Consider the following 14,253-nt stretch of genomic DNA (forward strand, 5'->3'; position numbering starts at 1 on the left):
AGATAATTATTTTGTTATTTTCAGAAGAAATACAGGTATTATGTTAAGAATGAAACACTACTAAAATATGAAAAAATGTTCAATCTCACTAGTTATCAGGGAAATGTATACTAAAAATGATTTTCATTCCTAGATTAGCAAAATTTTTTAAGACTTAAAATGCCAAGAGTGAGGCCAGGCTCAGTGGCACATGGGCCTGTAATCCAACAGTTTTGAGAGGCCAAGGATTACTTGAGCACATGAGTTCAAGACCAGACCGGGCAACATGGAGAAACCCCATGTCTACAAAAAATACAAAAATTAGCCAGGTGTGGTGGCATATGCCTGTAGTTCCAGCTATTCGGGAACCTGAGGTGGAAGGATCACTTGAGCTCAAGAGGTTGAGGCTGCACTAAGCCATAATCATGCCACTGCACTCCAGCCTCGGTGACAGAGCGAGACCCTGCCTCAAAAAAAGAAAAAAAAGAAGACTCCAAGAGTGGAAAAGGATAGAAGGGAAAGAGTACTCTTCTGTACCACTGAAGGGAGTGTAAAATGACATTTTGGATGGTGATCTGGAAGTATCTACTAATATTTTACATGAGTAGGAAATCTTCTAAAATTGTGGTAATTTTATGTCTCAGAATATACCTTAGAAAAATAAAATGCACACGGGAGCAACGAAGCATTCTTTGCAGTTGCATACAGTGGAAGCAATCTAAAAGCACATCAGTTGGAGTTAAAAGCATACAATACATCCATATCATGGTCTACTCCAGGCAGCATTAAAATGAAAGACGCAGATCATAGTGTGTTTGAATATATCACGCTGTTAACGAAAAGAGTCAAACTCTGTATAAAATATTTTTAGAGATTGATTCTGAGCCAAATATGAGTGACCATGGCCAAAGACACAGCCCTCAGGTGGCCCTAAGAACATGTGCCAAGGTGGGTGGCGTATGGCTTACTTTTATATATTTTAGGGAGGCATGAGACATCAACCAAATATATTTAAGAAATACATTGGTTTAGTTCAGAAAAGCGGGACAACTCAAGGCGGGGGCGGGGTGGCGGCGGGGGCGGTGTTCCAGGCTATAAACGTTTTCTGGTTTACAATTGGTTGAGTTTATCTGAAGACCTGGGATCAATAGAAAGGAAATGTATGTTCAGGTAAAGATAAAGGATTGTAGGCACCAAGTTTTATTGTGCAGAGGAAGCTCTCAGATAGCAGACTTCAGAGAGAACAGGTTGTATATTGTTTATTATCAGACCTAAAAGAGTGCCTGGCTCTTACTTGATTATCTCCTGGATCTAGAAAGGAAGGAAGGAAAACAAGGGGAAAGTGGATTCTCTATAGAATGTGGATTTTTCCCACAAGGGATGGCTTTGCACGACCATTTCAAGATATGGCAGAGAAACATGTTTTGGGGTAAAATATTTTTATTTTCTTCCATGTTATGCCAGAGTCAGATCGGAAAGTAAGTCATGATATACAGGGTTAAATAAAACCATCTGATGAGAATGTATGGTTTACAGAGCATGATTCCCCAGACCCCTTAGATAGGAATTTAGGCAAGATTAAAAAAAAAAAAATCAGAGCTTAGTCCTCAATGCAGACAGCACAAATTAGTGATAACCTATGTAAATTGTAATTGATGATTAATCTGAAATATTTATTACTGTTTGATTATATTACAATAAAATTATCTTTCTAGTTTAAAAATAGAATGGACAAGTTTTTAAATTAAAAGAAGCTATACTACTGATGCAGAATTAAGTGGAAAATACTATGCAGGACTTTCTAAAGCAGACTATGAAAAGGTATCATGGATATACTTGTTAAGAATATTACGAATATATGTGTAAATGCTATGAATCACTGCCAGTTTATGGAACTGGTAAAAGACATCGAATAATTTTTTGTTCTTTGCCAATGCTCGTTGGTGTAGTCATAGAGTTTTATGAAGAATCACTGTGCTGTCTGAGAGTGAAAAACTCAAACTGTTTTTCCTCTGCTCTCACACCACAACAATCAACATGAAGACTTGTGTGACCAAATGTGTGGGAGTTTCTCCCCACACACCAAGCAAGAAGTTAAGTTCTGCAGTGGAGAGGAGCCGGGTATCCTCTAATTCAACTTTCCAACACTATCAGGAGATAGTGTTAGATCTCAAAGGTTAAGAGCTCAGTACCACAAACCCCATGGCCCCACCTGAGGGAAGAGAGAGACCCTCTCATATTGTTTTATATTGTTTTATACTCAGTACCTGTTTTAAGAAAAAAACAAGGAAGTGAAATCAAAGACAGGCAGCCCGGCGCCAGGTCCAAAACCAGGCCTGGGCCTGCCTGGCCTAAACCTAGTAGTTAAAAATTAACTCATGACTTAGAACCCGATGTTACCCATAGATTCCAGGCATTGTATGGAAGAACACTGTGAAACTCCCTGCTCTTTTCTGTTTCACTCTGACCACCGGTGCATGCAGCCCCTGTCACGTACTCCCTGCTTGCTCAAATCAATCACGACCCTTTCATGTGAAATCTTTAGTGTTGTGAGCCCTTAAAAGGAACAGAAATTGTGCACTCAGGGAGCTCAGATTTTAAGACAGTAGCTTGCCGATGCTCCCAGCTGAATAAAGCCCTTCCTTCTACAACTCGGTGTCTGAGAGGTTTTGTCTGTGGCTCGTCCTGCTACACAACCAGTCACAAGTCTGGGCCTCCAGAACATCTAACCAAAAAGCTTCAAGTTGGGGTTCCCACAATCCCCTCTGGGTTCTATTAGTTTGCTAGAGTGGTCACAGAACTCCAGAAACACGCTTACCAGTTTATTATAAAGGATATTACAAAGGATACAAATGAACAGCCAGATGTAAGAGATGCATAGGGCAAGTTATGGTGGAAGGGACACAAAGTTTCCATGCCCACCCCAGGCACAACCCCCAGAAACCTCCACTTATTCAGCTATCTCGAAGCTCTACAACACAGGGCTTTGGGCTTTTTAAGAAAGCTTCATTACATAGGCATGACTGATTAAATCACTGGCCACTGGTAATCAATTTAACCCTCAGCCTCTCTCCTCTCCCCAGAGATAGGGGTGAGGCTGAACGTTCCAACTCTCTAATGGTGCCTTGGTCTTTCACGTAACCAACTCACATCCTGAAACTACCTAGGGGCTGTCAGCCATCAATCAATCACTAGCACACAAACAGACATTACTTTGGAGGTCGTAAGGATTTTAGGAGTTGTATACCAGGGAAACGGGGTCAAAGGCCAAACATATATTCCACAATATCACCTATTATTAACTTCAGTTGGAGATTTTTGTGAAACAAAATGTTTACGAAACAGTCAATAAACAAAGGCAAAAAAATCAACCTAAGTGTCCATCAACAGATGAATAAAGAAAATGAACTGCATATACACAATGGAATATTATTTGGTTATAAAAAATGAAATCCTGACATTTGCAGCAACATGGATGGAACTGGAAGTCATTATATTAAGTGAAATAACCCAAGCACGGAAAGACAAATACCGTATGTTCTCTCTCACATGTGGGAGCTAAAAGGGTGAATCTCATGGAAGTAGAGACTTGATTAGTGGTTGCCAGAGGCTGGGAAGGAGAGGTGGGGATTAAGAGAGGTTGGTTAATGGGTACAAAAGTACAGTTAAAAGCTGGGCACGGTGGCTCACGCCTGTAATCCCAGCACTTTGGGAGGCCAAGGTGGGCGGATCACAAGGTCAGGAATCAAGACCATCCTGGCTAACATGGTGAAACCCCGTCTCTACTACTAAAAATACAAAACATTAGCCAGGCGTGGTGGCAGGCGCCTGTAGTCCCAGCTACTCGGGAGGCTGAAGCAGGAGAATGGCGTGAACCCGGGAGGCGGAGCTTGCAGTGAGCCGAGATCGCGCCACCGCACTCCAGCCTGGGTGACAGAGCGAGACTCTGTCTCAGAAAAAAAAAAAAAAAAAAAAGTACAGTTAAATAGAAAGAATAAGATCTAGTGTTCAGTAATATAATACGGTGACTATAGTCAACAACAATTTATTGTATAGTTCAAAACAGAAGAATTGGGATGTTCCCAACATAAAAAATGTTTGAGGTGATGGCTGTCCTAATTACTCTTGTAAAAGAAAATAAAATCTTAGGACCCCAAACTCATTATACCAAAAGGAAAGTTAAACCTAGAAAATTAGTCATGCAACACTGCCTTTCCTTCCTCCTCTTTCCCCCCAGAGCTATAATTTCACAACCCTGTGTCATAGCATTACACGTTAAGTCAGCATTGTCCCGCAATGGCAAAAGGACATATACCTCCCTCACAAATTTCTCATAAGAAAATCCCTTCCTAGTCACTAAACCTTTCAGGATACATATCCCCTAAAACCAGCACATGCCAATTGTAACCTTGGGTGTGCAACCTAAGTTTAACTCTCAAAACTGAGTTCTGTTAAATCTCATGCTGACAATGTCAATTACAAGCTTACCTTCTTAGGTACACAACAGGGACAAGACAAAAAATCACTCCTTCGATCATGTCTTTTGCAGGGACATGAATGGAGGTGGAAGCCATTATCCTCAGCCAACTAATACAGCAACAGAAGACCAAATATCGCATGTTCTCACTTATAAGTGGGAGCTGAATGATGAGAACGCATGGACACATTGTGGGGAACAACACACACTGGGGCCTATAGGGATGGTCAGGAGAGCATCAGGAAGAATAACTAATGAATGTTGGCTTAATATCTAGGTGATGGGATGACCTGTGCAGCAAACCACCAGAGTACACATCTACCTATGTAACAAACCTGCATATCCTGCATATGTACCCCTGAACTTGAAATAAAAGTTTAAGAAAAATAATAATAGTAATAACCCAAGGGAATAAAATGAAATTATCAAAAAAAAAAAAATCACTCCTTCGGCTAACCCGAGATGGATGCATAACTGACTCTTTCCTCTACTCCATCTTTTCAAATGTTTACCTTACCTTATGTAAAACACAGATTTACTGAGCACTAATTAGAGCCTCACAAAAATGTAACCATTTGTCTCACTGCCTCTCTTACCTTCCTTTGTCCCTTCTGCTTGCTCTTTATTCTTCAATACTGAGTTCCAGAAACCCTCTTTTGGAAAGCACAGGTAACAGATGCTCCTGTGACTTGTGTTTTTCCCAGGTGTATCCTTAAACTTTGGCTTAATAAACCTCTGATTGAGTCACATTTTTGGTTAATATACTGATTTGATCATTACACATTGTATGCATATATGAAAATATCACATGCACCCCCAAAATATGTACAACTATTATGTATCAATAAATAAAAATAAACTGTAAAAATAAAAAATATACAAGTTTACCAATTTTTTGAGTCTTCATTTACTTATGAAGGCTCCTGTATCATATAAAATTTATATTAAATTTTATGCTTATGAAATACAATAGAAAAATGGTTGTAGAATACAGATAACTTAATGAATAAAACACAAATGTCCAACATATAAAGAACTCAACTTCACAAGTAAACAGGGAGACACAAAAGATAACAGTAGGTTTTCCTCATTCAATTGGCAAAAGTTAAAAAGTTTAGTAACATGTGTTGAAGAAGTTGGGAAAATAAATTCTCTCATACACTAATGATGGCAGTCATTTTGGAAGGCAATTTGGCAGACCATATTAAAGTGTAATGCAAACACATTATGATCTGACAACTCCTGAGAAATACATGCATATGTTCACAAGACCACATGCATAAGGATGTTCACTGCAGAGGTTTTAATAGTTAAAAAAAAAAAAAAACTAAAACTAAAAACAACTATGATGTATTCATACCATGGTATACTTTGCAGCAATTAAAAAGAATAAGGTGGATCTACGTGTTCTAAAATGAAAACAAAAAACATCCAAGGCAAACTAATGAGAACTGTAAATAATTCTTGGCAAACAACTCCATCCAAATTCTTGCTCTAAGAGCCTTGACCAACTCTAGCAAAGCTTCTAGTAGCCTAGCCCACCTCCACTCAGCCCTGGAATACCCAGCCTCCTTTTGAGCTCCAGTCTGTCTGGAGAAGTTCAGGGCTATCAAAAGAAGCTTACTGTTTATTCTAGCCAACACCTGACTATAGGCCCCTGACCTTCCTTTCTTAGAGCACTAAGAAGAGTTTACAATTGTAAATTCTTCCTCTGTCCCTTTGAGATGTGTATGTATCTCCTACAACTCAGCAGTGTCTTTCTCAAGAACCAGAAAGCCACTCCTTTGAAATGTAATCATCAGGAAGGTTTGGATCTCTGTGTCCCAGTCTCTGTGGAAGGACAGAATCCTAATTTTGATAACTGTCAGCGAGCAGGCACACCTGACCCACTCACATTTACAATGACCAACTATCTTAGCCTGGAGCTGCTATAACAAAGTATCATAAACTGGGTGGCTTATAAACAACACAGGTTTATTTCTCGTGGTTCTGGAAGCTAGGAAGTCCAAGATAAAAACACCAGCAGATTTGGTGTCTGGTAAGGGCCCATTTCCTGGTTCTTAGATGACGCCATCTCAGTATGTCGTCACATGGTAGAAGGAACAAATGAGATCTCTTGGGCCTATTTTAAAGGGTACTAATCGCATTCATGAGGGCTCCACTCTCATACCTAATTACCTCCCAAAAGGCCCTACCTCCTAATATCACCACCTTGGGGGTTAGGATTTCAACATATAAATGTGGGGGAAAAACAAACATTCAAACCACAGCACCAGCCCTTTGTAATTTTCACTTTCCTGACGCTACTTGAGCCCTCAGTTGCTCCCCTTCCGTACTCCCTCATTCTCCCTTTAAAAGGCCCAGTCATGACTGCACAAATCATGGAGCTCAGCTCTTTCCCCTATTGCCAGTGGTTACTGAATAAAATTTGTTTTTACCACTTTAATTGTCTTGATTTTTTTATTCACAAGTGTCAAAGTTGTAAGCAGATAAATACTGAATAACACCATTTATTTGAAGCACAGCACCCACAATAACAGCTGAGTTGTATCTGCAGTATTTTAGATAGTTTTATGAAAAGAATGTATTTAGGTACATTAATTTTTTTTTTTTTAAGAGACAGGGCCTCACTATGTTGCCCAGGCTGGTCTTGAACTCCTGGCCTCAAGTGATCCTCCCACCTCAGCCTCCCAAAGCTCTGGGATCACAGGCATGAACCACCACACTTAGGCTTAAGTACATTAATCTTAATGAATTGCATGAATTATTTTGAGGAAAACGTACTCATATTTGAAACTTTAGAACTCTTTTTTAAAATTAATGTAGATTGATGGATAAATATATAATAAAACACATATAGCAAAATTTTAATTGTAGACTTGAGATGGTAGGTTTATGGGTGTTCAACACAAAATTCTTTCAACATTTATGTAAGATTTTTTAAAGTATCATAATAAAATGTTCAAAAATTATCATTAAAAAGAAAACATAGCAAGTAGTGTATTTTAAAGTCTTTAGCCATTAAAAATGTGCAAAGTTTGAACAAAGTTGAATTACTAAAACTTAGATAAATTAGATATAATAGTAAAGAATAATTGTGGGGTAGGGGTGATTTTTTCCACAAACTCTTTTTAAGGCACAAAAAGTACAGTGATTACAGAAATTTTTTCTGTATTTTAGGAGGTAGTCCAAAAGAGTCAAGATAAGAATTATATGCCTTATTAATCTTTGTCTTGGCCCAGTTCTCTGGCAAACAGAGCCTGATTAAAATGCTGATGTTTCACTTGAGAGGTGCATACACAGGGCATCAAAGGTGAAGAGAAGGTAAACTGAGGCAAGAAAATATATAAAGCAAGGGAAAGTGCTGGCTACCATTTTACAACAAGCTATAAAAAAAATAGTAGGTCACTTAACAAATGCATCCACTTGGTGTACTCTTTGTGGAATGTCTCCTGATAGACTACAAAAAGAAACCATACCTCAGAGTAGTCCATGTGGGAAAAGAAATTTATCTGGCAGGTTCCCTCCTGTCTCCTATTTCCCACTGGTCAAAGTCCACCCTGAAGTACACTGCACTTCATTTTGTGTCATCTGGCCTTCACAGATGCTTAGGGTGCTACCTACAAGGATGTTGTGTGGCGTTATACCCAAGATTGGAAGTGGCAGGAGGAGCCAGACCCTCCCAGAGTATGGTTCATAAACTTAGCTAGATGGTGGCCACCAAGGCATAGGGCCCTCATTCCTCAGATGAAGCAACTGGTTAGCCTCCAGTGGCAGCAGAAAATTCTACGAGGCAGATGGTGCCAAGGGACTCTGAAGGGGCACATAAGATTATGTTTGATATAATCACAATGCAACATGAGAGGAAGATAAGACTTAAAAAAAAAAAAATCTGTCACATAAAAATAGGGCAAAAACTAGGGTAAATCCAATCTCTAAGAGTTATTCTCAGTTACAGCATTTAAATATCTCACACTTCATCACTGTGCTTTGGTGGTGATATTCTGTGATGTTAAGCAGTTAAGACAATCAAAACCTAGGATTTAAGGACCTTGAAAACCCTCACAAAACCAAAGGAGTCAAATTATAAAATTTACTCCACCCATGCTACATGAATCACAGACCTACTCTATATAATCTAAATTTACATATATCTTCACAAAATAGCTCCCAGCTGTCTATTAAGGATCTCTGTTTGGCCAAGTCTTGTCCTTGGTGTAAAAATATGTTGAGCTAAAGGAGCCTCTCTGCCTCAGAAGCTGGCCTGCCCTTTAGATGAATTTTGTATACTGCAAACATTGCTAAGCTACTCTTATTTATTTTAGCCATTCTTTCACTTAATCATTTTATCAGTATAGTCAACATTATGTTTGCTGGTGGCGTCTCACAATATTCACTACACCACTCACTCATTGTGTTGCAGCCAGAAAATCTGGGTGAAATAACTCTCACTTCTAAGGAAGGAGATGAAAAGTATGTGCCTGCTTCGTACACTGAGGATTCTCAGAAACTGGTAAGGATTCCTCTTCACGATGGCAAACTAAGACTGGGATTAGAAAAACCCCTGGTCACAGGAAAGTGGTCAGCAATAGCACAAAGTTAGGAAATCTTATTTAGTGATTCTGAGTAGGAACCATCTGCCTGTCATGAGATAGATGAGAAAAAGCGTGTGGCCACAGTAGTTGCTGGGATCCATCATTTAACATGAGTGGAGCCAGTCTAAGAATGCAACCCATCCTGCAGATGACAGATGGAATAAATAGAAAGAAACTGGGCTCATGACAATATCCTTTAAACTGCTAGACCAGTCAGCCCTGAAGCCTGGAATTTCCAGTTATACATGCCAATAAAAACCTTCAGTTATATAAGCTAGTATTTTTATCGATACTTGAACCAAAAGCATATTAGCTGATATAAAAATATATTCTTTTTGGTTATTTTTTTCTTTCCCTTGTGTTTTCTTCTTTGCCTATGTTACCTTGCTCAAATTACCACTTCTCTGACATTTTGTTTTTAAATGAGGATTCAAATGAAAGACAAGATAGGAAGACAGTTCATTCTCCAAAAAGTAGAGGCTGAATGTCATTATTATTTCAACTATTCTATAGTTTTGGGTTTTTTTTGTCTTTCCATTGAGCTATGATTGTACCACTGCACTCCACCCTGGGTGACCAAGCAAGATCCTGTCTCCTCCGCCCCACTCCCCCACCAAAAAGAAACAGGAGATAACAAATGTTGGCAAGGGTGTGGAGAACAGGGAACCCTGTACACTGTTAGTGGGAATGAAGATTGGTGCAGCCATTATGGAGGTTCTTCAGGAAATTAAAAATAGAACTACCATATGACCCAGCAATCCCTCTTCTTGGCACACACCCAAAGGAGATGAAATCACCATCTCAAAAATCTGCACTCCCATGTTCGCTGCATCATGGGAGCACACACACATACACAAAATAGAATATCATTCAGCCTTAAAAAAGGAGACTCTGTCATTTGCCACAACATGGAAGGATGTGGATGACATTATGCTAAATGAATTAAGCCAGACACAGAAAGAAAAATACTGCATCTCACGTTATATGTGGAATGTTACTTTAAAAAAAAAAAAAAGGCCAAACATACAGAGATTAAAAATAAAACAGTGGTTACTAGAACAGAAAGGTGGGTTGGTGGGGGAGGAGGGAGAGGAAATCGGGAGATACGCGTCAGAGGATACAAGTAGTGGATATGTACGATGAACAAGTCTAGGGATCTAATATACAACATGAAGGCTATAGTTAATAAAATTGTATTAGGTACTTTGTTAAATAAGTAGATTTTAGGTGCTCTGGTCACACACAAAAAACAGTATATGTGATGAGTAATATGTTAACTTGCTTCACTATATTACCATTTTACTGTCTCTATATATGTACGTGTGTGCACATGCATATACATACACACATGCATGCACACACACACACACACACATACACACATATATATCTCCCATAACATCATGTTGTAAACCTCAGGTATGCACAATAAAATTTATTTTTAAAATGTTTTAAATTGAGCTTTAATATTAGGTCTTATACCACACCCTTCCCCCCCGCCCCCCACCACACACACACACAGACAACCCTCTAGAACCCATGTTAATTAACTACTGCCCAATATCCATATCATCAGGTTGTTGCCTCTTCCCTTGAGTGACCCATCTAAAAAATAATGCTCTATACTCTGGTGGCCAGGTGCAGTGGCTCACGCCTGTAATCCCAGCACTTTGGGAGGCAGAGACGGACGGACCACATGAGGTCGGGAGTTCAAGACCAGCTGGCCAACATGGTGAAACCCTGTTTCCACTAAAAAAATACAAAAATTAGTCAGGTGTGGTGGTGGGCACCTGTAATCCCAGCTACTCAGGAGCCTGAGACAGGAGAATCACTTGAACCCAGGAGGTAGATGTTACAGTGAGCCAAGATCGCATCACTGCACTCCAGCCTGGGTGACAGAGTGAGACTCTGTCTCCAAAAAAAAAAAAAAAAAGAAGGAAATGGTCTATACTCTGGAGAGAATTTGATAACCCAACCTCCTAGAAATAGCCCTGGATAACACCTCAGTAGTTTCAAACATCCTTTAGGATGATTTGGAAGGATGCATATGAGAGAGTCAATATTCAAATGACCAGGACCTTTTTTAGTACCTTTAGGACCTTTTTTATTCACTTCCATCCAAGGCAGGAATTCAAAAGAACAGTCCCAGTGTATAGGTTTCCTCAAAAGCCCTTCTTAATCCTGACAACTAGGACAAGAACTAGAAGGCAAATTAGTTAGGGGAGAATTATCTTCAATGGTGTATTTTTGAAAGGAGAAAGGATACACCTATCATGTTTCCCCTTCTTCAGCAGACTGGACTACTGACTGTGTGGATCAGAAACAATGCTCATACGCCCAAAAATCATAAAACCTAATTTATTCCCTGACCCAAATCTTCATAAAAGAGCCCTAAAGGACAAAGGATGATCTCCTCAAAACTCAATTGTCTGTGGAGAATTTTCTATGGGGAAAAAGATATAGTGGCTCTGAATATTCAATATCTGATTCCTTGCAGTTATGTCTAGGTTGTTATATAAGGAAGTAAGAGCCACTAGAAAAGAAAACAGATTCACCAATCAACTGGTCACAAATTTTTAAAAATCAGTTTCCATTCAAATGTCCCTTAAACCTCAACCATAATATCAAAGTCTCTTTGAGACTGCATGACAATCAACTACAAAATGAAACAGCAAATCTTGCAAAAGGTTGACATGATAGGTACTTGGAAAGAGACTGACCTGAATATCAAAGAATTTTAGGCCCCTAGGAAAAGTTAAGCAATCCACAAATACTATGCAAAAACCCTTTTTATGATGGGGCTAAAAGAGTCATACACAAACAAAAGAAGTTTTATCATGTCATAGTTTCTGTGAGAAAAAGTATAACTAACTTCTATTCAAATAAGCACTTTTAATAAGGATATAAAATCTCAGCCAGGCTCGTGCCTGTAATCCCACAATTTGGGAGGCCAAGGTGGGCAAATCACTTGGAGCCAGGAGTTCGAGACGAACCTGGCCAACATGGCAAAACCCCATCTCTACTAAAAATACAAAAATTAGCTGAGTGTGGTGGTGGACGCTTGTAGTCCCAGCTACGTGGGAGGCTGAGGAACAAGAATTGCTTGAATCCAGAATGAGACTGTCTCAAAAAAAAAAAAAATTTACTATTAAATTTGGTCCCTTTTTGATAGACTGGTTAAACAGAAATTAATAGGTAAATATATTTAAGATAACAATAACCAAATTTTTCACTATGAAAGAAAGGGCTGCAAACTAAAATGAACCCTGGGGTACTATATTAGAATTGGAGGTATTGGTATGAGCTGATGGTTTTTAATATTTATAGATAAATATAGATGTAATCATATATAGATTTTCGAGTTTTGACTGCTAGAAGAGCTAAAAGCAATAACACTGCAGTATCAATGAGTACACCTAGTGGTCAGTTCCTGGTTTTTAAATACACTTCTCCACCAAAAAAGAACTAGGGCTCTTGAATGATTTCTACAGCTGGGGCAGGAAAGATCTTATTGTGCCGGAAGCACAAAAACGCTCAAAAACTGATGGGGATTGTCAAAAGGACACAGGAACCCTGGTAAAAGGATTCCCATTGGCCAAATCTGAGACAATCTGAGCATCATAATAAATGATAACAGATTATAACCCACTGAATAAAACAGACATTTATGAATCCATAAAAATTAATTAACAAATAAATGGGGGAGAAGGGAAAGCTCTTCCTTGCAACAGAATGCCAACTAATAAATATAGATGGAATGAGAAAACTAACATTTGGCAACAATTATAGTAATAAATTTCAAAGTAACTCTCCATAGATACTAATTTCAAAGGTAAAAATAATTTTATGGTGAAGAAACCCTGCTGACACCAATTTATCCAAATAATCAAACTTATTATCACCAGTAATGGGATAAATTGACATCATGTGCCTTCTGATTGATATACTAAGAACTATTTCCGTGATATTTCTGCCAAAAATGTGTAAACTAAAACTAATTATAAGGAAATATCAAACAAACCCAAACTGATAAGCATTCAACAAATGATTGGCCTGTACTCCTTAAGTTAAAAAGTCACAAAATAGAAGCAAAGACTAAGAAAACGTTCCAGATTGAAGGCAACTAAAAGACACGATGACTAAATACAACACATATCCTGGTCCAGCAGGAAAAAAAAAAAGTTTATTCATTTTTAAATTTGTTTCTGCCATAAAGGACGTTGTCTTAGTCCATTCAGGCCGCTATAACAAAATACCATAAACTGGGTAGCTTATAAACAATAGAAATGTATTTCCCACAGATCTAAAGGCTGGGAAGTCCAAGATTAAGAAACTGGCAGATTCAGTGTTTGGTAAGGGCCTCCTTTCTGGTTCATAGATGGCACTGTCTCCTGTGTCCTCACATGGTGAAAGAGAAATGGCAACTCTCTGGGGCCTGTTTCACAGAGGAAATAATCTCATTCATGAGGGCTTCACCCTCCTGGCCCAGTCACCTCCCAAAGCCCTCACCTCCTAATATTAATACCATCACATTAGTGCTTAGGTTTCTACATATGAATTTTGGAGAAACAGAAACATTCAGACCATAGCATTGTATCAGTGTTAATATCCTGATTTTGACTGTTGTACTTCTGTACTTTATCATATAGCAGCCTGTCCTTGTTTAGGAAATACATACTGAAGAATTTCAGGTGATGGAGCACCATGTCAGTATCTTATTCTCAACTAGTACTGAAACATTACACATATACATACAATACACACAAAAATGTTAAATTTGTGGAAGTTTTTTATACTATCCTTAATTTTTTCTTTTTTCTTTTTTTGAGATAGAGTCTGCACTCACCCAGGCTGGAGTGCAATGGTGCTATCTCAGCTCACTGCAAGCTCCGCTCCTGGGTTCACACCATTATCCTGCCTCAGCCTCCAGAGTAGCTGGGAATACAGGCACCCACCACCACGCCCAGCTAATTTTTTGCATTTTTAGTAGATATGGGGTTTCACTGTGTTAGCCAGGATGGTCTCGATCTCCTGACCTCATGATCCACCCATCTCGGCCTCCCAAAGTGCTGGGATTACAGGCCTGAGCCACCACACCCAGCCTACTATCCTTAATTTTTTCTGTAATTTTTAAATAATCTTTAACATCAAAAAGTTTAAATTGAAAGCACAACAAAATAACACTGTTTAACTTAGATTGTC

General features: G+C 38.8%; 1 protein-coding gene across 2 annotated transcripts in view, besides 3 other annotated features; it reads right to left on the reverse strand.

The window, feature by feature from the left end:
• RAD54B (RAD54 homolog B) overlaps positions 1 to 14,253 on the reverse strand; it is a 103,156-nt gene that overhangs the window by 66,683 nt on the left and 22,220 nt on the right. The gene's annotated exons all lie outside the window — the stretch shown is intronic.
• Positions 2,064 to 2,393: an enhancer, noted in NCBI's record as "active region_27630". NCBI's record gives its function as "activates an Ori minimal core promoter by ATAC-STARR-seq in GM12878 lymphoblastoid cells {active_cell/tissue: GM12878}" and the evidence as "EXISTENCE:reporter gene assay evidence [ECO:0000049][PMID:35858748]".
• Positions 3,795 to 3,864: a silencer, noted in NCBI's record as "silent region_19366". NCBI's record gives its function as "represses an Ori minimal core promoter by ATAC-STARR-seq in GM12878 lymphoblastoid cells {active_cell/tissue: GM12878}" and the evidence as "EXISTENCE:reporter gene assay evidence [ECO:0000049][PMID:35858748]".
• Positions 5,878 to 6,410: an enhancer, noted in NCBI's record as "NANOG hESC enhancer chr8:95456748-95457280 (GRCh37/hg19 assembly coordinates)". NCBI's record gives its function as "activates a minimal SCP1, AML or CMV promoter by ChIP-STARR-seq in primed H9 embryonic stem cells {active_cell/tissue: H9 hESC(primed)}" and the evidence as "EXISTENCE:reporter gene assay evidence [ECO:0000049][PMID:30033119]".

This window comes from Homo sapiens, chromosome 8, assembly GCF_000001405.40.
Source record: "Homo sapiens chromosome 8, GRCh38.p14 Primary Assembly".
Classification (NCBI taxonomy): domain Eukaryota; kingdom Metazoa; phylum Chordata; class Mammalia; order Primates; family Hominidae; genus Homo; species Homo sapiens.